Source organism: Homo sapiens, chromosome 6 (assembly GCF_000001405.40).
Source record: "Homo sapiens chromosome 6, GRCh38.p14 Primary Assembly".
In the NCBI taxonomy this organism is placed as follows: domain Eukaryota; kingdom Metazoa; phylum Chordata; class Mammalia; order Primates; family Hominidae; genus Homo; species Homo sapiens.
Window position 1 is genome coordinate 19322733 of NC_000006.12, and position 25170 is coordinate 19347902.

The window sequence follows — 25170 nt, forward strand, 5'->3', positions numbered from 1 at the left end:
TATTAAATAGGATTTATACTCTACACTTACAGGGACATGAATCTTTAATAAGGTTCAGTCAGATTCCAGGAATTTTGTTTATGTGGTGTGTGTATGTGCACAGCTATGCACAATTAATCAGAGTTTTCAAAGTAGAATCAAGTTAACTTACCACCAAGAGTCCTCTGCCCCCTGCTGCTTCACCAAATTACTACTGTCACTCTTTGTAGAACCCAACCAGTAAAGAATTTGGGGTTTCATCTAAAGATGTGTCTGTGTGGATCATTTGTACATCAGAAACAAATAACCATTGTTTTCTTTAACCAGTGCCCTTTTAGCCAACCCACAAAATAGACTTTGTACTTTCTTTAATTTAAAAAGCAGAACTCACATCAACTAAGTCGGATTTGGCATAATTTTAAGAAGAAACATTATCATTACATTCAATTCTCTTGTTATTCTTGGCTTTGAAAGGTGAACGTGAGGTTATCATCCAGGTTCGTGGAAAGCACTAATGATGGTCTCGGGGAAAAGGGCAGTTTCGACATCTCCAAGGTAATGGTTGTGGTTGTGGTTCAAGAGCTTCTCTATCCAGGACTGCCAAGAGTACATTTCATTATAACCATAGACCATGGCAACTAATCAAGAAGTAAATTCCATGAATTGTGAAAGTTTTTTATATATTTATTATAAAATATTTGGAATTGTTTCTTGACAGACTTGAGTGTTAAGTATTTGGCTGTAAATTTTACATATGTAACCCAAAATAACTCAATGAAATAGCTTCGTTTTACAGAAGGTGAAACTGAGGTTTAGTGAATTTGAGAAATGCTCCAGATTATACTTGGACCTGGAAAAATCAGGACTAAAACCAAGCCTGCCAAACACAAAAGGTGGTGCTCTTACGCAGAATGGCACTCTGTCTTCTATTCTGCCATTTACCCTCCAGCTCCATACCTCGTCCTACTTTCCTCATTTACAACTGAGAACATAGAGAAGTGAGCTTGCCTGCAGGGCTTACCACGGAAGAGAAAAGAGTACGTAGACAGAAACCAGTTACTTAAATATTAGATCCACAAGCTCAATGTTCAATTCAGAGGTTTCCTAAATATCCTGACCTTACAGCTATCCTCATGCAACAGTGTAACACCAAAAAATATATTAATATACATGAATACAAATGAAAATTATACCTCCTACAAATTATCTTTTTAGAAATAAGACTGGGCTTAAGCTTACAATAAGTACTTTCAGGATACAGACATATTTTAAACATGTAGCATAATTTTGCTATTTAAATTAATAATCTGGAAGAAAAAATCAATAATCATCATGGTACTAGCTATTAAAAATAAATCTGTATTTTTCACATTCTACTATTCTAAATAAACCATTTGTAGTAGGGTTGGCAAACATGCTCATACTCAATTTCATTCTATGCAAGCATTGCACACGTGAGGGACTCATGGTTTGTTTGTTGATGTTGGCCAAGTTAAAACCTCCATTGCTATCTGAACATGTGAAAGTTTTCAAACCTGCTAACATGGAGTTTGCACCTGACAGAAGGGAAAAACATTTTAACAAGCTTTATTTCATCTGTTGAGAGAAAATGAAATGAAGTTTGCAGTGATATTTGCTTTTTAACAGAGCCAGTGAAAAAGCTGTGGAAAGATAAACATAGAAAACAAAAAAAAAAAGAGAGAGAACTCACTCAGATTATGCTTTTCTTTCTCATTTCATGTTTTTCTGACTCCCACCTACTTTTCTCTATAATTTTCTGCCCAGGCTGAAAAGTATAAAATCCTTTTACATCTCTACATGCCAATTTCCACAGCTTCTGCTCCTTGCTAGCAAGTAAAACGTGGTCCAGCCAGAAGACTGCTGGCTGGTTGTTATGCCATGAACACCAGAAAATCCCAAGGAAACATGCAGAGCTCTATTCAAATGGCCACCGAAAGCGCTATACTGGGAGAAAAAGAGGGGCTGTCTCTTACAGTTTTTTAAACTGGGCATCCTTGAATCAAAATAATTTCCCAACCCTTTTACTAGCTTATTATCTCCTGCCCCCTTCCAAAAATATATATATATAAAATTAGCTTTCTGGATTCAACATGTAGGTCACTTCATTCAAGCTTCTGTTCAAATGTCACCACCTGAGAATTGCCTTTGCCAAACACACTATGTAAAATGTCACCCCGCACCCCTGACACCTTCTATCCCATTTTCTCTTGCTTTATTTTTCTTGATAGCAATGATCACTACCTGATACTGCATCTTTTGTTCATTTATTTATTGTTTTTCTCTCCTTCCAGCATGTATGTGCCATGAGAGTAGACTAATTGACTACTGTACCCCAAATGTGTTGAACAGGATCCCACATCTGATACTCAATATATGTTTGTGGAATTAATTAAATACCTGTGAAAACAAGCTGAACCATATGGAGCTGGCAGCAGTATACTGACATGCTACTTTCTGATGTCATTTGTTCTCACCTAATTCTGCCTGAAGAAAACCTTTTCAGGGAGGCAATCTTCAGTCCAAGTTTCTTCCACTTCTTTCTTCTGTTCTCTGTGTAGTCAGCCCAAAGGATATTTGAGTTCAATTTGCAGAGAAATGCCATAGATAGAAATGATAATGTCCCTTCAACTTAAAAGGGCCGAGCATGTTTTGAAAGTGTTTTATGAACTGGAAACCTTTCTATGAGATATTCCACTGTAGCCCCATAAAACCTTACACCCTGCTGGAATTTCATCCTGTTAAATTTGGCAGTGTTTCCTTCCTCAAGTAATGAGTTCAATTCATGTTTTCATTTAAGTTCATACCCAGATACAAATCAGTGTCACTGCCACAGGCAACGATTCGCAGAATTCCCAGGCGCCAAGGCTGAGGGATGGCGGGTTCAGAAGAATGAATGCCAAATTCTCTTTTTCACTGAGGGCAGTGTAGCATTTACTGTCATAAGCCTGCCTCATGCCAAGTCCCATGGAGGCAGTTGGCTAAGTGGGCTTCCGGCTTCTATCTCAACGCAAGCTCGTCTTCTAAAGCCTCTCTGGATTTCCTGTGGTAATCCTTCTTTGTGTACCTCTGAGAAAGAAACAATAATAGTTCAGTATTTTTAGTTTCTTTCTTTTTTCCAAGAAGAGAGTTCAAGAGCACAAGTGGTTTTAGTTAAGGATTCAATAAACACTTTGGCAAGAATGAGGAAAGCTGTGTAGAAAAGACCTAGCAGTTCTTCCAGTTGTATTAATAGCTTAAGGGGGTATTTTCCCATGAGGAAAATAGGGCATAGTCAATACTATGAGAGCCCACCTCTGTCCTTTGCTGATACATCAGGTAATTAAAATCTTATACTTACTCAATGGCTCTTTTAAACATGGTATTATCAAGGAATGATTGTTTTTGCAACAAAGATGGTAACAATGACAGCAAGAGCACCAGTGTGGAAAGTTCTTCTCTGCCTGTCAGGGAATCTATCCTGATTTGCAATGACACTATGACTTCTTGCAAGCAAACACCTGGAGACTGGGTCTAACTACCTGGGCAGGTAGTGCTGAGCTTCAAGGCAATGCTATCACGTAAGTCTTCATTAGGAGCGGCACTGCAGCCAGCTCTTCCCTTCCTCAAGCCACATTCTCAGACTTCAAAGAGATCTCACCCATTTGAAGGAGAAAAGACAGTGGAGCACAAGGTTGGAAAATAACAGGAGGAAAGCAGTTAAAGGAAAGTAAAAAAAGAAAAAGATAAATTGAAAAGTAAAGTGTTTGTCTTCTTAATATTCAAGAGATCTAGCTAATTTACACACATACACACACACACACACACACACACACTCATATTTTGCTAGCCCTTTTACCCAGCTGTAAATTTGTGACTCTGAGCTTCCATAATCAGAGGACTGAAGCCATTGTACTAAGAACCTCAAATCTTAGTATATAGTTCCACTGCTTTTCTTCATGCCAGGTGAGGCGGACAACTGAGCCCACAGTGAGCTGATGGTTGACAGACCCCTCTGAGAGATCTGAGAGATCTGTCTGTGGAACTCCCTTGGTAGATAGATGGCTATGCTATGCTGTGAAACATATTTTCTTTGTGTACAAATTGGAATAACATTTAGATGCCTGATGATGCTTTACAAGGCCTTCTCTATTAAAAGATAGTTATTTTTCTACTCTCCCTTTAGAGGCTTCTTCTCAACCCTAATTTGGTCCCACTGCTTAGAGATCACTATGCTACTACCATTTGGCATAAAATTGACATAAAATTGCATGTCTTCCAAATTGTGCCATAATAAGCTGAAATATACATGCAAGTATTCATGTAATATAACTTTTATATCAATGCAATGTATTCATTAATTAATGTGTTAATTCATCAATTATTTGTTGAACACCTACTAATTCCAGGTATTGCCAAAGAAGCCGGACACTGTGAGAAGGTATAATGAATACAAGTTCTTTGGCGTGTATTAAAAATATGAGGCTTACATGGGAAACAGTCAGTTGTTAATATACACTGTACATCATTCAGGAGATATTGTATATAAAAGCTATTTCAGACACTAAGGCATTTGGTCCAAGGCATATTCTCTACATTACAAGCAAATTCTATTTTGCTTATTCAAATAATTCTTGGCATTTTGAGTGGTTATATTTTAAGTTGTCATATCTCAACCCAACATGCAGGAAGTGACCTCGCTTTGAAACATTGTGTTTAATCAGGAGTTTTGATCTGGTGTGACATCAGTGTGCCTGTTGCAAGAAACTGTTTTAAGTCCAAGAGCAAAAGCCATTGTCTCCATTATCTGTATCACAACTACAGATGAGCTGGATTTTGCCATGGGATGTCGAAAGGTAGAAGTTCACAACCTGAGGCTTTAGTTCTGAAGGATAGGTTCAGATAGCTGCAGAAATGGAAAAATAATTCATCACCCTATGAAGAACTACTACAGAGACCAGAATGTTCTTCTGAAACCAACGGGAAGCAGGGCCTGCCGGACTGTTTAAGATATGCAGCCAGTGATTTCTTGAAAGAAGATGAGAGGAGAGAGGGAAGGTTAGGACAGAACTAGCAAGAGCTGTGAGGGGAACCGGCAGAAAGGAAAACGGCCGATGCCAAGTTGTCAGTGGAGGAGTGTGATGCTCTTACAGAGCTAGAAGAGGTCAATAAATCACCGCCCTTATCTTGCAAACAGAGCCTGTGACTTCAAAAATTAGCTCATTTATTCTGCACAATTAAATTTATTGAAGTGTGACAGTAAAAGTTTAGCAGGCAGTGAAGCAGAAAGCCAGCAACAGCCGAGGCGAGCATCTGAGTGAATGACACAATTAGTTGATTTTCATTTTATTTATCAATATAATTATTGAATTGTATTTATCCTTTTTCACAGATTTCTACAATTATTACTGCTCGGGCCTCTAGGGAAAGAATTAGTTTGAATTCTCAGACTAAGTTAATGTGATTATGGAGCTGCTAATAAAAGGAAAGTTCTTTAAAGTGCTACACAATCTTGTATTCAATGTCACTCCCATCATCGGGCTTAGAAAACCAGTCCCTTTTCATGTGAATGTGGTAAATTGAATTTAAATTTGTATATGTATGGAATTCCCCAGGTGGGAACTGAGCTGGGACTGGTCAATGCCCTCCTTTCTGGGACTGTAAAGGATTTGTCTTGTATTTAAAATTGGAGACCAGGATATATATATATATATATATATATGTGTGTGTGTGTGTGTGTGTGTGTGTGTGTGTGTGTGTGTGTGTGTGTGTGTTTTGAATATGATGAAAAAAGAAATCCTCAAGAATTTCCTAACCTTTAGGAAGTCTGGAAAAGAAAGAAGGATAGAGGTGATGGAACTGCTTTCTTTTTTGTTTTATCTTGGATTTATCAGGACTTGGCATTCCACTATGTCCCTGTGAAAGCATGTCAAAAAAAAAAAAAAAAAACAGAACAAATATAAGTTGTTAAGACAGTATGCATGTTCTAGAGGAGAGATGGAGCGCATCCTGCCACACAATTTCTGGGAACCTAGTTTATCCCCCTGAAGCAGCAGTGTAGGAATGTACCAGCGTACCAGCTGTATGAATCTGAATCATCTTCTCCCAATACATCAAGACAATGGGTGCCAAAGTACACTCTTCCTGCATGGTCCGAAAAATAACCCATTTCCTAGAGAAGGGAACTCAATCTCATTCATCATCTCCAGGCCTTTCAGTTAAATGTTTTCTTGGTCTGAGAGACGGTGAGTTTCTCTGTGAAGGTGGAGTGAAGACAACTCAAGTTCAACTTCTAATAAACCCAACAAAGTATATAAGTTCCCAAGAAATCTGTTAAAGCAGTGATTTTCAAGCTCAGAATCTATAAGGATCATGGGGTACAAGTTAAAATGAAGATTCCTAGGTCCTATCTCCAGAGAGGAATTGGGCTTGCATTTTAAAATGAATATTCCATTGGCTGTGGCTTGGGAACCAACTTCGAGAAATATTAGAAGTGCTAAAGTAAATCATGAACTTGAATAGTGGCAGCTCTTCCAAAGATAAACGGTTCTGCCATCCATAAAACTGGGAGAACTGCTGACTCACAGGTGAAGAAAACACTAAATTCTGACCCTAATATAGCACCTAACACACAAACTAAAGCAGGATTTATCACTGCCACATATTCAGCGTGATCATTTATCTAGTTCTTATTAATGTGGGATAATACTCATAGAAAGAGCTAATATTTATTGTCGCTATTATAACCCAAAATAATTCTTTCCTTTTTTAAAGTTTTATTTCAGGTTCAGGGGTACGTATGAAGGTTTGTTACACAGGTAAACTTGTGTCACGGGGGTTTGTCGTACAGAGTATTTCATCAACCAGACATTAAGCCACGTACCCAATAGTTATCTTTTCTGCTCCTCTCCTTGCTCCTACCCCCACCCTCAAGTGGAACCCAGTGTCTGCTGTTCCCTTCTTTGTGTTCATGAGTCCTCATCATTTAGTTCCCACTTATAAGTGAGAACATGTGGTATTTGGTTTTCTGTTTTCTTTATTTCTCTTTTTCTTCAACTTTCCAATTTAATCTGTCAGTAAGACCTGTCTGTTCTGCATCCAAAATATGTCTCAAATCTGCCTACTTTTGGTAACCACTAGTTTAAGTCTGCTAAGTCTCACTCTGGAAGCTCAGTGTGGCTGAAGTAGAGTGGGTAAGAGAGTCCTGGATGTTCATATTAGTAAGCTAGCCAAGGGCCAGATCATATAGGGTCCTGTAGGCCCCCGACTTTAGACTCTATTCAAAATGTGATGGGAAACCACTAGAGTACTGAGATGTCATAAGCATCAAGATGTGATTCATCCTTTTAAAAGGTTCATTCTGACAGCTAAATGGAGTACAGGCTGTTAAAAATATATAAAATGAATTCAATATTAGATTAAACTCTGAAGTCACGGGACACGATTTTAGAAAGATACTCTAGTCCATTGTTAATTGCCAAATAAACAGATCTCCAAGGGGGATGGGGAAAGTCTCTTCTTTTATGACCCATTCCTTTGTAATTCATAAACTATCTTTGACATGATTGCACCCAATCTAAGTGATACTATAACTCAATTTTTTGGATACATACTTAAATTAGATTTCAAATGGTCACAAAGATTTAAGTATCATTCTTCTCCTTGTGCATTTTGAGAGAGGCTAGCAATGAACTACATGGTTCAAGATAAAGAAAACACATAATTTGTCAGAAGATATATACAGAGCATATAAATGTCTATCATTCATAAGCTTGTATCATCCTGGGCTAGCAAGACAGAAATTTTTATCAGTGTCACTTCCTACCTACCTATTCTTTTTAAAATGGGGGTGGGGTGGGAGGTAGGGTGTGGAAAAGAGTATAAAGTATTCATGAGTCATTGGACAAAGGTCTGACTTACCTCTGTGATGACTGGACTTCAACATAAGAGCACAGGAGGCCAGGTGCGGTGGCTCATGCCTGTAATCCCAGCACTTTGAGAAGTTGAGGTGGGTGGATCCCTTGAGGTCAGGAGTTTGAGACCAGCCTGGACAACATGGTGAAACCCAGTCTCTACTAAAAATACAAAAATTAGCTGGGCATGGTGGCACGCTCCTGCAATCCCAGCTACTTGGGAAGCTGAGGCAGGAGAAATGCTGAAACCTGGGGAGATGGAGGTTGCAGTGAGCCGAGGTTACGCCACTGCACTCCAGCCTGGGCGACAGAATGAGACTCCATCTCAAAAAAAAAAGAAAAGAAAGAAAGAAAGAGCGAGCACAGGGGCTAAAATTATGCCCAAGTGGAATAAATATACTTCCTGTAAAGTGAAATAGAGAGGGCCAAATAGTTCACTTCCAGTTAAAAGAGTGGAATGAGATATGAAGTTTACGAGTTGATTTTCTAGTGCCTAAGATGTACCCGTGGCCAAGGGCTAATTGTCAATTTACATGTGTGCACAAATTTCAAACACAGCTTTCAAGCTGTATGTGAACAAGCTAAATGAACTCCAGCAGCTCTGTTTGAATATAATGTTTCCCTGAAATTTTTGTTTCTGTGGCAGACACTTTAGACCTTGAAATCATTTTCGGTTGAATTACCATTCACACTCTGTTAATAATACCCAATACCAAATGCACATATTAAAATTTCCAAGAAATTACCATTTTCTTTGGAGTTGGGCTTCCCAGAAATCTCTCTCATGGATTTTAATGCCTGTGCTGTAAATGAACCAGCTTTTGCATTTCATTAGGACAATTGCTTTTATGACATATCCTAGGTGAGGGGCTGATAACTTTCCCCAAAGAGTGGATTATAACTATGTATATTGAGACACAAATATTGTTCATCTTTTCGGAGGCTCTCAACTTATCTCTCTTTCTCTCTTTCTCTTTCTCATTTTATCAGTGAGAAAGACCCATGTCAGGTCACCCTTCCATTACTGTATTTTAGTAAAACACCACACTGTGAGATACAGGATCTGTTTCTGGAGAAATGGTGAATGAACCAGATGACAGAGCCCAGAGGATAGGGAGTTAACTCCTCATGGAGTGAAACTAGGCCAGTTAGAAGTGAGAGATGGGAGATAGCTAGGCAAATACATTTCCCATTCTTTCTGTCTGTGGGTTACTCTGGAGAGAGGTTCTCCCTATAAACTTTCTGCAAAATCCTCATGTACAGAATTAACAACTCTATTGAGTGACCTGCTATGGCTTATTATAAAGTAGTAGCCAAGGTGATAAGACATTGCATTCCATTCTTACTTTGCTTCCTGTATCTTTCACTCTCACCTTCATTGCCATGATCTTGCATCCCCAGTAAAATGTTAACATTGATTCCTTGTCTTAGGATCTGCTTTCTAAAAGACCCAGTAAGACACAGTGTTTTCTGTAGATGTGGAGGAAGGAGGCAATTCAACCAGCTTAACACAGCCACTAAGACTCACAACTCTGAGTAAGCATCAAAATTATCTGTGATTCTTTTAAAAATACAACTTTTTTTTTCCTTTTTTGAGACTGAGTCTCACTCTGTCACCCAGGATGGAAGGCAGTGGCACAATCTCCACAATCTCAGCTCACTGCAACCTCCACCTCCCAGGTTCAAGCGATTCTCCTGCCTCAGCCTCCCAAGTAACTGGCATTACAAATGTGAACCACCACGCCCAGCTAATTTTTGTATTTTCAGTAGAGACGGGGTTTCACCATGTTGTCTGTTTTTTTTTTAAATTTATTATAATTATACTTTAAGTTTTAGGGTACATGTGCACAATGTGCGGTTAGTTACATATGTATACATGTGCCATGCTGGTGCGCTGCACCCACTAACTCATCATCTAGCATTAGGTATACCTCCCAGTGCTATCCCTCCCCCCTCCCCCCACCCCACAACAGTCACCAGAGTGTGATGTTCCCCTTCCTGTGTCCATGTGTTCTCATTGTTCAATTCCCACCTATGAGTGAGAATATGCGGTACCATGTTGTCCAGGCTGGTCTCGAACCCTTGACCTCAGGTGATCCACCCGCCTTGGCCTCCCAAAGTGCTGGGATTACAGGCATGAGCTATCGCGCTTGGCCAAAAACACAGATCTTTCACCAACCTCCTGCCTGAGCCACTCTGAGTTTCCAATGGTAGAGCAGCTACAGATTTACAAATCCCCTCCAATAATTTTGATGCACTGATAGGTTGCCTACAGTCTAGGGAACTAATACTACTCTGACCTTTCATAAGACAGGGAGTCGAGATCCAGGAATAGGAGATTATTATATCACTTCCCCCACTAGAACCAGTTAGCTAGACAGGCTTTACAAGTTTAGATTGAAATGCAAATATAACAAAGAAAACAACATAAACCCTTATCAGGGTAATGTATCATATCATGTCAAAATGTAATAAAATTTACACAAATTGATAAATCTCATTTGCCTCTCTAACTTAAGAAACCCAAAAAAGTGGCTTGCTCTGTAAGATCACCTACGTAGTTAATAAGCAACCTAGAACAAGAACCTGCCTCGTTATTTTTCAGGCCAGTTTTCTGCTCCACTTCCGACTGTGATGACAAGGCTGGGGCAAGAAATGATTTACCACGAAAGATGTTTTTCTTGTTGTTGGTGTTGTTTGCCCTTCATTTATTTATTTATTTATTTAGAAACTTTTATTTTAGGTTCAGGGGTAAACTTGCAAGTGTGTTACATAAGTAAATTGCGTATCATGGGGGTAAATTGCGTATCATGGGGGTTTGGCATACAGATTACTTCTTCACCCAGATGGTAATAAGCATAGTACTTGATAGGTAGTTTTTTTTTCTTTTTTCTTTTTTTTTTTTTTTTTTTTTTGAGTTGGAGTCTTGCTCTGTCACCCAGGCTGGAGTGCAGTGGCGCCATCTCGGCTCACTGCAAGCTCCGCCTCCCGGGTTCACGCCATTCTCCTGCCTCAGCCTCCTGAGTAGCTGGGACTACAGGCGCCCACCATGGCACCCGGCTAATTTTTTGTATTTTTAGTAGAGACGGGTTTCACCGTGTTAGCCAGGATGGTCTCGATCTCCTGACCTCGTGATCTGCCCGCCTCGGCCTCCCAAAGTGCTGTGATTACAGGCGTGAGCCACCGTGCCCGGCCCTTGATAGGTAGTTTTTTGATCCTCACTCTTCTCCCTCCCTCCACCCTCAAGTAGGCCCCAGCGTCTGCTCCCTTCTTTGTGTACTCAGTGGTTAGCTCCCGTTTATAAGTGAGAATATGCAGTACGTGGTTTTCTGTTCCTGTACCACAAAAGTTTGAGTGTAAAAAGAGGACCAAAAAAGAAGGCCAGAAATAAGAAAAGTGGTAGCAAAATGGAAAGCGAGGCCTCTCCAAAGGTATGTTTTTCTAACTTCAACTTGGGCTTGGAGTTGGCTTACATGCCCCCTCCTTGACTGAGTCACTGACAGCCACATCCTTGGACTTAATCTGACCTCTGATGCACACATTGTAAACCTCTGATAGGGTGAAAAAGACAATGAAACATGGTAAACATTTATTTTGGTTCTGCCTATCTCACTATGTAGGAAACCAAGAAGAAGAAACTAGGGAAACTTTCACGTGTTTGAGTTTCTTCTTTTGTGAGCTAGAGAACAAAAATTGGAACTTTGATGTAATAGTTTTCACTAAGAACAAAATACAGTATTAGATTCATTCACCTTGGATACTAAGATGACATGTTTTCACAGTTTATCATTTTAACAAGATTCTATTAGGATACATAGCTATTTAACTGAAAGTATTAAAAAGAAGTGAGTTAATGACAATCCAATAAAAAATTTGATTACTAGAAAGCAAAATAGAATTACTATTTATGCCATGACTGTATGAGCATTATGCCATAGTTGCTGTTCTAAGCATTTTATGTGCTTTTAAACATTTAATCACTGCCACAATCTTATATATAAGGTATTATTATTCTGATTTTACAGATAAAGGAAAAAGGTAGAGTTGGGTAGGTGGGTAGTTAAGAGGTTAAGGAGTTGGATTTGCAATTGAGATCCAACTCCAAAGCCCATTTTCTTTCTTCTATACTGTACGTACCATGGGGTTACCATAAATATTAGATAAACTTTAACAACTTCAGCTACATATCAAATGATATCATTAAGTAAAATCCTTAATTTAGAGATTTGGAAAGACATTCTTTTCTCTTTGCAGACTATCACATAGATAGTAGATTTGCTCCTCATGTGGAAATAAAAATGTTTTGAAACATATTCAATCTTCTTGAAGTCATTTTCAATCTCTTTTCTCAGGCTAACTAGTGTCAAACCATAAATGGCTATGATCCTCATCCAGCTAAAATTAGCTTTGTTTTAGTCGTGTTACGAAAAGCTGTTGGATGTGCAATAGGCTAAGAAAGTTGGATACAGATCACCTAAAAATGAAATAGCATAGGAAATAATTATTTTTCCACCAATAAGCTGTGCAAAAAATATAACATATTCACCAATGCCAGAGTACGTAAATCACAGAGTAGTTATTGGAATAGAGTTCTGAAGCACATGCCCCATTACTAATGAGTCCATTTTGCCTGAAGGGCTTTCTCCAGCCTCAGTCCTACTCTCTTCTCCTAGAGCATCAATTTCAGTAACTATCACCTTTTGTTAGAAATCCTCCCCCGATATTAAAATGTTCTGGCTTTCTTATCAGTGGATTCTCCCCCAATATTTTTTATCCAAAGAAACTTTACCAAAATATATAAAATAAAATGAAGTGTTTTATATCTTTTGTTTAACCTTTACTACTAGTAATATAACGACTAAAATTTATTGAGGCCGACTGCGGTGGCTCACGCCTGTAATCCCAGCGCTTTGGGAGGCTGAGGTGGGCGGATCACCTGAGGTCAGGAGTTCAAGACCAGCTGGGCCAACATGGTGAAACCCTGTCTCTACTGAAAAATACAAAAATTAGCCAGGCATCATGGCTCATGCCTGTAATCCCAGCTACTCGGGAGGCTGAGGCAGGGAGAATTGCTTGAATCCACGAGGTAGAGGTTGCAGTGAGCCAAGACCATGCCACTGCACTCCAGCCTGGGTGACAGAGCAAGACTCCATCTAAATAAAATAAAATATAAAATAAAATAAAATTATTGAGCACTTAGGTGTAAACAGGCACATTTCATATATTTTCTTTTTCACATTCCTCAACGCTTTGTGCCATAGGCATCATGATTTTCCTCTCTCTCTCTTTTCCTCTCTTGCTCCTTTTTTCTCTTTCTGTCTTCTCTTTCTCTTAAAAATGTTCAAACTGAGACTCACCAAGCAGAATTATTTGCATAGGATCACACATGCACACATGGGAGTCAGGCCTGCTCAACTCTCAAACCCAGCTCCTTTGCCTGTAAGGATTGCATCGGCAGGATGTGGGCCAGCCTATGTAAGGCTGTGGGTCAAAGAAAATAGATCCCCTAGGCTGCTTGAAGGGTGGTGGTGGTAGTGGTGGTCATTCTGTATTTGCTATCCAAAAATAACTGATATTATTAGATTGGTGCAAATGTAATTGCATTTTTCACCATCAAAAGTAGTTGCAAAAACTGCAATTACTTTTGCACTAATCTAACTACTTCAATTTTCTTGAAAATTTAGGTAAGACTGAGTCAGGTCCTCACTTTTTCTCAAAAAAAAAAAACAAAAACATAAAACCATAAAACAACAAAAACTTTAAATTTCCTTTTTTTTTTGGCAACCAACCAAATTGATTACATGATTCAAAGGCTTAGTCAGCTCTATTTTTCTCCAAAATACCTCAGCAGGCACTTTTTAACAGAAGACATACTTTTGATAGCTATGAATTAATTATTTTTGACTAATATTAGATTCTATTTCGTCTTACTACATTGAGCACATTTGAAAGATATTTCTGTGAGTCTGAACCCTGTGTATTTTAGAGTCCTTGGCATATGCAACTTTTTGTTACATTGCCCATGTTGTACCCAATAAAGTTAAAGACTTTTCAGAATTTCAGAACCGCTTTAGTGTGAGGGGGTTTTGGGGAATGCTATTACCCTCTCCCTATTTGACTCAAACTCCCATCTGACACCCTGGGCTGAATTTAAGTGACGCAGCCTAGCCCTTCTGCTTCTGCGGGAGATGACAGCTCTGTCTTCACGAGAATTTGTTAGCTGTTAGAACTCTGTGTTCTCCTGGTAGATACTTTAGGAACTTCTGATATTCACTCAAAACCCCAGGTGACATAAAACTCAGAAGAGATGCAGTGAAGAATTGGGAATGACAACTAACAAATACTAAAGTATCATTTCACCCAATTTCTGGCCAGGCAGAAAGGAGGAAAGGAGGGAAGGAAGGGAGGGAGGGAGAAAGGAAGAAAAGAAGGGAGGGAAGGGAGGGAAGGAGAGAAGAAGTGAGGAAGAGAGAGAGGAAGGGGAGAGGAAGAAAGAAGAAAGAAACAGAGGGAAAAAGAAACGAAAAGAAAAAAATGTTTTGGTTACGTGTTTTTGTTGCTAGATCTACATACACAAAGCCAAGTGGAAAGTTGAAATTAATTAGATGAGTAAACTAGAAGACAAAGCTTTGTAATAGATCCAGAGAACTCTGTGATATGACTGACCATCACATTAGTCTTACTGATAATACAGTTGTTTTGGCCTAAAAAGCAGTTGAAGGAGGAGTGGTAGAAGCTGGAGATATGTCTGGAGGAGGCAAGATGCAAATGAAGTGGAAGGCGGAGGCAGAAGGAGAAAGCGGGGGTGGGGGGGTGGGGGTGTGGGCGGGGGGTGGGGAAAGCAGAGTCGAGTAAGGCCTGCAAAGAGGGAGACAATATTCACCCTGAGAAAATAATTTCTTTTCTTTTTTTTTCTTTTTCTTTTTCTTTTTCTTTTTTTTTTAGAGGGAGTCTTGCTTTGTCACCCAGGCTGGGTGTAGCAGTGGTGTGATCTCGGCTCACTGCAACGATTGCCTCCTGGGTTCAAGCAAGTCTCCTGCCTCAGCCTCCCAAGTAGCTGGGATCATAGGCGTGCACCTCCATGCCCAGCAAATTTTTGTATTTTTGGTAGAGATGGAGTTTTGCTGTGTTAGCTAGGCTGGTCTCGAACTCCTGACCTCAAGTGATCCACCCACCTTGACCTCCCAAAGTGTTGGGATTACAGGCATGAGCCACTGCCACCCATCAGAAAATAATTTCTTATAAGCTTCTTAATCTTTTGAGTATTCTAAGAAGCCACAGTAGTTATTTCTTTATTATTTTTGATATAGGACTTCACAATTTATTAACTCTTTAAGACTATAATCTGAGTTTTATCTAATCTATCTCTTGAAATCTCTCTCCAAAATATATCTTAGTCATTTACTTAATAATCAATGTATTATTATGATCTAATGATACTACTTGGTATCATAAAATATTAAACAGCACAAATTTCTGTGTGGCATTAATAAGGAAAATACCTCATCAGGTCCATATATTTATAATAATAATTTCAAAATCACTTATATGGGCATTGATACAAAAAGTGTTTTGGAAAAATAAAACAAGGCTTTCCAACATGTAATAATAGTCACTTGAAAAGTGTCTTGCCCTCCTCTCATTCTGGTCTTCCATCATTTTCCAAGCTAACGAAATCTGATTCTCTAAATAAAATCACAGTAGATATGAATATCAGAACATCAGGAAAGGCTATCTTTCCTCACATCTGTATTCCACACAGAAAACCTAAGAGGCTGAAATGAAAGATCTTTTGGAAACTCCATCCTCAGTAGCTCGAAATTTTACACTTTTATATTTTCTCAGAAATCTGAATATAACATTCCCAGACATAATTTCCCCAATGCTTCCTTAAATTAGATAAGATAATATTGTTGTTCATCATCCAGGAATAACAAATCAATTGGTCTAAACATGAAAAATAAAACAATCTAAATGGATATACTTGTTTCTCCTTTGATAATATATGATTTGCTCATAAAGTTATGAATTAAGCTACTTAACAGGTTATTGAAAATCTGATCATGTGAACATTCTGTTTTTGGATGTTTTCTTGGACATTTTACAAGAAACAGAGTAAAATAGACACCAAATCCAACAGATCACCTAATGAAAGAGAAACAAATTTAGAAGTTGACAGTTCTGTGCTAGTATCAGTGTAAAAATACATGACAAAATCAAAATTATTCCCATGGCCTACTGACTACGAAAATTTGATTTTTTTTCCCCTGTAGCTGTTTAGGCAACTAGTTTTAACTCAAATATACAGTTTTGTAGTTTGGCTGTTTCATATGTACCATAAATTTGTTCACCTCTTTGTAACTACTGATAAATGCTCTTGATTTGAATTGTGTGATACATGTTTTGAAACAAAAATAAATGTCCTACACTTGTATATACTTTTCTGTTTACAAAACACTTTCATACACATTATCAGTTCTCACACTAAATCTATGAGCTAAATTACTTTGCCCATATTACTGAAAAGAAAACTAATGTTTAGGGTTACAAAATGACTTTCCCAAGGACACAAAGCTAGTCAGTAGTAGAAACAAGATGGCAACCCTCTTTATCTGTGTCTCAGCCCAGTCAGCGTCCTTTTCCTCTACACAACAATTAGCTCCTTCCAAGAACTACCCATGAATATAGGTACTGATTCCTACCTTCAAGAACCTTCTATCCCAACTGGGTCACAGAACTGTCCAGTCAAGACCAAGTCATCTATCCCTTTTTCTTTCAGTTATCTCTTCTGCCCCTGCTTTGTTTGAAGAGAGGTAATAATACCCAAACTTAGGAAATAATTCACAGCCCTCCAAGCAAATTGGCCTATTAAAAGCGTGCGTTCATATGCACTACTGTAAAAGCACAGTAATTAGATTTATACCTTATGCTCCCCAGCCAAGAATGGATTAAAATGGCTGTGTCCTTTCTAAAACTTCCAACCTTAAAACAGGGATTATCTTTTGCTTCAGAGTCACCTTCAGGTAATTTTCTCTAAACAGATAAATAAGTATAAAGTTGAATTTTCGTTTTTGGATGATTCTTTGCAGTTTTCCTTGAAATGCCAATTAAAATTTTTTTTTTCATATGTAACATACCCAAATAGAGGAACATACTAAAATTTAAAATTGGCATGAGGCTACTAGACATTCAGAATTTACTTAAACTTACTTGAATTTGCTTAGCAAATTTCCTTAACATTATTTCCTAGAGATGACAAAATCCTTTGCCTTAGAAAAGTCTAATAAAAATGTGTACTTTTACCTTTTGCTAGACAATGCAAAATCCTAAGAACATTTAAATTCCATTTATCACCATCTCTTCTCATACACTATTATTCTTCTTATGTATTTTAATTCTACATATTTTAAAATTCCACAGATATTATAATTATTATTGTCTTACATAGTCAAAATCAATTTAGATTTAGGAGCATATTTACCCCTTTTCTTGCTCTTCCTTCCTTTTTGCAGCTCTGAATGTCTTCTGAGATTATTTATCATCTTCCTAAAAAGTGCTTTCTATAATTTTAATTAAACGTCTTCAGCGGAAAGTTCTAACCACTCCATTGCCTTACCTAGACTCTAGTGATGTCTTTCTTACCACTTTTACTTTCGAAAGATACTTTCACTCAATATGGAACTTCAAGTTTGTAGTTGTTTTCTCTCATTATTTTGAAGCTATAATTTCATTGTATTCTTGCTTCTGCATTTTTTTTTTTTTTTTTTTTTTAGTGAAGACAACTGTTAGTATAATTTTTCTCTTCAATGAAGGTAATATCATTTTTCTCTGTCCAGTTTTAGGATTTCTTCTATAATTTTGGCTTTCAGCAACTTTGCTGTGATGTCTTAAAAACAATTTTCTTTATATTTATAGTGCTGGAGTTTATAGACCTTTTATAATATTGGGCTTTATATCTTCTACTAGTTTTGGAAAACTCCCAACCATTGTCTCTTGCAATATTGCTTCTACCACATTGTCTTTCTCTTCTCCTTCCAGTATTGCAACTATATGTATCTCAGTCCTTTTCACTACTTTTCTTCTTTCTCTTACACTCCAATTTTATTCTTTTTGATTTCAATTTGAAATTTTTTTGTCATATTTTTCAGGATAATATTTCTCTCTTTCTTCAATCTATCTACATTAAATTAAATATGCTATTGTTTTTAAAGTTCTTGAATTTCCATTCAGTTCTTTTTTCTTTTTAAATATGTTTTAGTTTCACATAAAAATCTTAATCTGAGTTTTCAACATAGTAAGCATAGATATCTTTAAGTCTTTGCCTACAAATTCCATTTTCCAGATCCTCTCTAGGCATTTTTCTATGTTTTATTTCTCTTGATACTCAGCCTTCAGTCATTTGTCCTCGTTCTCCTGTTTTGTGGTTTTTGGTTTTGTTGTTGTTTTACGGACGGGGTCTCACTTTGCCACCCAGGCTGGAGTGCAGTGGCATGATCATGGCTCACTTTAGCCTCTAGCTCCTGAGCTCAAGCAGCCCTCCTACCCCAGTCTCCTGAGTAGCTGGGATCACAAGTGTAAGCCACAGATCCTGGTTATTTTCAGCTGAGTGCAGGACATTGCATTTTTATAAAATGTAGAGATAATCTGTAACCTAGAATGGTATCTTTCTTTAACAGGAACTTATGTTTGCTTTTGGCAGGCAGTCAGGAATACTTGCAATGCTAAATGATCTTAATCTAATCATGAATTAAAATAATTTGTAGCTGGGTTTCAACCCCTGCAAGAATCTATTTGTTATTTTTCACCTTATTGTAGCTCTTTGGGATTTCAACCGAGAGTCATGAAGTTTACTACAATACCACGCTTTCCTTGCTGGGCCAGGAACTTCTATTTTCCCAGATCTGTAAATCTGTCAAAAATTCAGTTGATCTTCTTAGACTCTCAGCCACTAATTTTTGGAATATATGATGGCCTGAGGAGAAAAGAAACTCTCAAAGGAAGCTTTTATTTTTTCCCCCTCTGGCTTTCATTCTTCTCCTTCGTTTTGGTTTCTATAATTCCTCACTACCTTATTAGCTTTCTAATTCATCGGTAAGATGTATTTTTATACTGTGTCCAGGATTTTCAGTTGATCTTAGCAGACAGTCAGAATTTCCTAATCCACCATTACTAGGAGAGAAGCTCTGCACTATCGCAAGAAGAAAACAAATACAATAGTGTGTCTGTGGTACATAGGATCTTTACATTTGCAGCCAAAAAGGAATTTAGAAATTACCATTTAATTCAACTCTCTTGTTTTACAGATGAGCAAAATAATGGTAGCTGGTTAAGCCAGAAAGATTGGAGAAAAACCTGTCCCTCTGCATGCCCCTCTTTGAATGTGAGACCTTATACACATTTGGAGGAGGCATGAAGAGGCTCAACAGGAAGTAAAAGTTGGAGGAGAATACTGTCTTAGCTTTAAATGTGTTCTCCAATCCATACACAGATCCAATGGTAAAAGTGGAAACTGGTCAGGCGTGGTGACTCATGCCTGTAATCCCAGAACTTTGGGAGGCCGAGGTGGGTGGATCACCTGAGGCCAGGAGTTGGAGATCAGCCTGGCCAACCTGGTGAAACCCCATCTCTACTAAAAATACAAAAATTAGCCGGGTGTGGTGGCATGTGCCTGTAATCCCAGCTACTCCCAAGGCTGAGGCAGGAGAATCGCTTGAACCTGGGAGGCGGAGGTTTCAGTGAGCCGAGATCATGCCACTGCACTCCAGCCTGGGTGACAGAGCGAGACTCCGTCTCAAAAAAAAAAAAACAAAAAACAAAACAAAAAAACAAAGAGGTGGAAACTTTACTGAGAAAAAGTGTTTAAGCACAAGCTCTTACTAATTATTAACTGATGACGATATTATATAGATCCAAAGGTGACCACTAAAATGATAGGCTTAAAAATGAAAACAAAGATTTAATAAACAACAAACTGAGCAGAGACATCAGTGGCTATACTATATGGTGAGATAGATTCCACAGAATTATTCCAAGCAAGTCACAAAACAAGTAAACAAGGAAGCCAGCAAGCAAAAAATAATAACAAATACAACCACTGGGAGAGAGGATTTGGAATTTAGAATTTCAACAATGTAGTATCCAAAATGTCCAGTTTTCAACAAGAGATTACAAGTCATGAAAGAACTAGAAAGTGTGACTCATACAGAGGGAAGGAGATGTTTATTAGAAACTACATTTGTGAGGGCCCAAGTTGGACTTAGAAGAAAAAGCAACTATCATAATTACATTTACAGCATATTTAGAAAATCGTGTTTAAAGAATTAAAGAAAAACATGATGACAATTACCTAGCAAATAGAGAATATAAATGAAGCAGTAAAAAGTATTTTTTAAAAAGAAGAAAATGGAAATTTGGGGATTAAAAAGTACATTCAATGAAATAAAAATTCACTGGAGGTATTCAACAACCGATTTGAGCTAGCAGGAAAAATAGTCAGAAAACTTATAAGATAGATCAATAAAAATTAACTAATCTGAAGGACAAAAGTAAAAATGAAGAAAAATAGGGCTGCAGAGATATATAGGAAACCATCAAACATATCAACATATATGAAATGGAAGTCTCAGAGAAAAAAAGACAAAAGGGGAAAAATATTACTGAAGGAAGTTCTTCAGGATGAAAGAAAATGACACTAGACAGTGACTCAAATTCACATGAAGAAATAAAGACCACCAATAAGGTAATTACATACTAAAAAGTATATTTTTCTTTCAACTGATTTAAAAGCATACATAATACATTTTCTTGAAAAGATCACATGCTAGGCAATAAACAAGTTTTAATAACTTAAAAAGGCTGAGGGACTGGCGTGGTGGCTCATGCCTGTAATCCCAGCACTTTGGGAGGCTGAGGTGGGTGGATCATGAGGTCAGGAGATCAAGACCATCCTGGCTAACACCGTGAAACCCCCATCTCTACTAAACATACAAAAAACTAGCCAGGCATGGTGGCGGGCCCCTATAGTCCCAGCTACTCAGGAGGCTGAGGCAGGAGAATGGCATGAACCTGGGAGGCGGAGCTTGCAGTGAGCTGAGATCACACCAGTGCACTCCAGCCTCAGCAACAGAGTGAGGCTGTGTCTTAAATTAAAACAAAAGGCTGGAGTCAGACCAAGTATGTTCTCTAACTACAACAGAATTAAATTAGAAGGAAAAACTGAAAGAAATTTTGGAAATCCATGAACATTAAAAAATTTAACCACGCATTTCTTACTCATGAGTTCAAGAAGAAATCACAAAGAAAATTAGAACATTTTATACTGAAAGAAAACAAAACAACCTATCAAAATTCATGGGATGCAGCAAAAGCAGTGCTTAGGAAGAGAGTTGTTTGTATCTTTAACCTGATAGTAGAATATAAGAAACATATCAAATTAATAACTTAATCTTCCACCTTAAGAAAATAGAAAAGAAAAGCAAACTAAGTACAAATACTTCTGGAGAAAAGAAAAAAAATAAAGAAAAAGAAAAAAATAAAGAAGTAGAATCCATGAAATGGAAAACACAAAGCACTAAAGAAAAATTAATGCAAACAATAGTTGGTCGTTTAAAAGATCAACAAAATTGACTGGCTAAGGGAAAAAAAAGAGATAAAAGATATAAATTACCAAAACCAGGAATTAAAGAGCGGACATCACACAATCTCTATAGACACTAAAAGAAAGAGAATACTATGAACAAACTTGTGCCAACAAATTAGGTAACTAAGATGAAATGGTCAAATTCCTAGAAAGACACAAATTACTAACAATGACTAAAGAAGATACAGAAAATGGAATAGACTTATAACAATCAAAACTATTGGATTAATAACTAAAAAATTTCCCATGAAGAAACAACTAGGCCCAGAGGCTCCCTTGGTGAAATCTCTGCATTACTTTCATCTGCAATCCTCGCACTTTGGGAGGCCGAGGCAGGCGGATGACAAGCTCAGGAGATCGAGACCATCCTGGCTAACATGTTGAAACCCCATCTCTACTCAAAATACAAAAAATTAGCCAGATGTGGTGGCAGGCACTTGTAGTCCTAGCTACTCGGGAGGCTGAGGAGGAGAATGGTGTGAACCTGGGAGGTGGAACTTGCAGTGAGCCAAGATCGTGCCACTGCACTCCAGCCTGGGCAACAGAGCCAGACTCTGTCTCAAGAACAAAGAAAGAAAGAAAGAAGAAAAGAAAGAAAGAAAGAAAGAAAGAAAGAAAGAAAGAAAGAAAGAAAGAAAGAAAGAAAGAAAGAAAGAAAGAAAGAAAGGAGGGAGGGAGGGAGGGAGGGAGGGAGGGAGGGAGGGAGGGAAGGAAGGAAGGGAGAGAGAGAGAGAGAGAGAGAGAGAGAGAGAAAGGAAAGAAGGAAAGAAGGAAAGAAAGAAAGAAAGAAAGGAAAGAAAAGAAAGAAAGAAAAATTAATGCCAATACTTCACAAACTATTCAAGGTAATAGAAGAAAAGGGGATAGTTTCTAACTCATACTGTGAAGCCAATATTACCCTGTTATACAAGCTAATCAAAGATATTACAATAAAATAAAACTACACTGATATATTTCATATATATTGATATAAAAACCCTCAACAACATTTTAGCAACTCAAATCCAGAAATTAAGTAAATAGGATTATATAGTATAATCAAGTACAAGTACACTGTATCCCAGGAGCATGTAATTGCTTTAACATCCAAGGATCAGTTAATGTAATATATCATGTTAATAGGATAAAGGACAAAAATACATAACCGCCTCAATCAAATCAGAAAAAGCATTTGACAAAACTCACTCATTTACAATTTTAAACTCTCAACAAGGCCAGTGTGGTGGCTCACACCTGTAATCCCAGCACTTTGAGAGGCTGAGATGGGTGGATCACAAGGTCAGGAGATCCAGACCATCCTGGCTAACACGGTGAACTTCCTTAGCCTGAAAAAAGACATCTACAGAAAACCTACAGCTAACATCATACTTAATAGTATACTTTCCCCCTAAGACTGGAAACAACCCAAGGGTGTCTGCTGTTATCACTTCTATTAAACATATTCATGGAAGTCCTGGCCAATACATTTAGACAATGGAAATAAATGGCATCTACATTGGAAATGAACAAATTGAACTTTTCTTATTTGTAGATGACATTATCCTGTATGAAGAAAATTCTCAGGAATCTACAAAACACTACTAGTACTAATAAATTAGCAAGTTTGCAGAATACAGAATCAATATACAAAAATCAGCTGTATTTCCATATCCTAGCACTTAACAATCTGAAAATGAAATTACAAAAACAATTCTAATCATAATAGAATCAAAATAATAAAGTAATTAGAAATAAGTTTAACAAAATCAATACAAGACTTAAACACCAAAAAATATAAATACATCTGAAAGAAACATTAAAAGCTTTAATAAATGGAGAAACATTCCATGTTTATGGATTGTAAAAGTCAATATTGTTAAGATATCAATTCTCTTCAAATTAATGTACAGGTTTAATGCGGTACCTAACAAAATCCTAGCAAGAATTATTGCAAATTAGTAGTCTTAAAATTTACATGGAAATGCAAAAGAATCAGAATAGCCAAAACAGTTTTGGAAAAATCCAAAGTTGAAGAACTTCCACTTCCTGATTTTAAAATTTACTATGAAGCTACAATAATCTGGCATAAGGATAGACACACAGACGGTTTGTAACTTATAATGGTTTGACTTATGAATTTTTTTTTTACTTTACAATGTAATGATGTTACGCATTCAGCAGAAACCATATCTTGAATTTTGAAGTTAGATTTTTTTCCCAGACTAGTGGTATGTAATATAATACTCTCTTGCAATGATGGGCAGTGGTGGTAGGCCACAGCTCCCAGTCAGGCGTGCAATCACAAGGGCAAACAACCCATACTCTACAGTGAACTGTGTTGTCAGCCTTCTTCGGTATTATGTTTTGTGTTTTTGTATCCCATCATGTCAACAAAATGTCCATTTTTGACTTAATGACGTTTTCAACTTATCATGGGTTTATCACTATGTAACTCCATAATAAGTTGAGGAACATCTGCACAAGTCAGTGAAACAAAATTGATAGTACAAAAATAAACCCTTACATTTAAGGTCAATCAATTTCTAGCAAAGTTACCAAGGTTATTCAATGGGAGAAATGATGGTCTTTTTAATAAATGGTGCAGGGTCAGTTAGGTAACAACCTGCAAAAAGATGAATTTAGACTCATCTTACATTCTACAAAAAAGTTAAATTCAAATGGATTATAAACTTAAATGTATGAGTTAATATTAATACTATAAAGGGTTAGGCAGCACATTCTTAGATATGATACCTAAAAAGCACAATCCATAAAATAAAATATTGATAAATTTGATTTCTTCAAAATTTAAAACTCTTGCACTTCAGAAGACATCATTAAGAAATGAGAACACAAGCCATGTACTAGAAAAAAATTATTTGCCAATGAGATATCTGACAAATAACTTGTATTCAACATATATTCAACATATGTATGTATTCATACATACACATTCAACATATGTATGTATTCATACATACACATTCAACATATGTATGTATTCATACATACACATTCAACATATGTATGTATTCATACATACACATTCAACATATGTATGTATTCATACATACACATTCAACATATGTATGTATTCATACATACACATTCAACATATGTATGTATTCATACATACACATTCAACATATGTATGTATTCATACATACACATTCAACATATGTATGTATTCATACATACACATTCAACATATGTATGTATTCATACATACACATTCAACATATGTATGTATTCATACATACACATTCAACATATGTATGTATTCATACATACACATTCAACATATGTATGTATTCATACATACACATTCAACATATGTATGTATTCATACATACACATTCAACATATGTATGTATTCATACATACACATTCAACATATGTATGTATTCATACATACATATTCAACATATGTATGTATTCATACATACATATTCAACATATGTATGTATTCAACATATATAAAGAGCATTTACAACTTAGTAAGACAAACAACTCAATTAAAACAGGCAGGCTGGGCACGGTGGCTCACGCCTGTAATCCCTGCACTTTGGGAGGCCGAGGTGGGTGGATCACGAGGTCAGGAGATTGAGATCACCCTGGCTAACATGGTGAAACCCCGTCTCTACTAAAAATACAAAAAATTAG

At 37.2% G+C, this 25170-nt stretch overlaps 1 long non-coding RNA gene across 1 annotated transcript; it reads right to left on the reverse strand.

The window, feature by feature from the left end:
- Positions 1-330: 330 nt before the first annotated feature.
- Positions 331-8171, reverse strand: LOC107986575 (uncharacterized). Its single transcript, XR_001744014.3, has 2 exons — positions 7897-8171; positions 331-3066 (listed from the first exon to the last, which is right to left on the reverse strand). It is a non-coding gene; the product is annotated as an uncharacterized LOC107986575 (long non-coding RNA).
- Between the last annotated feature and the right edge of the window lie 16999 nt (positions 8172-25170).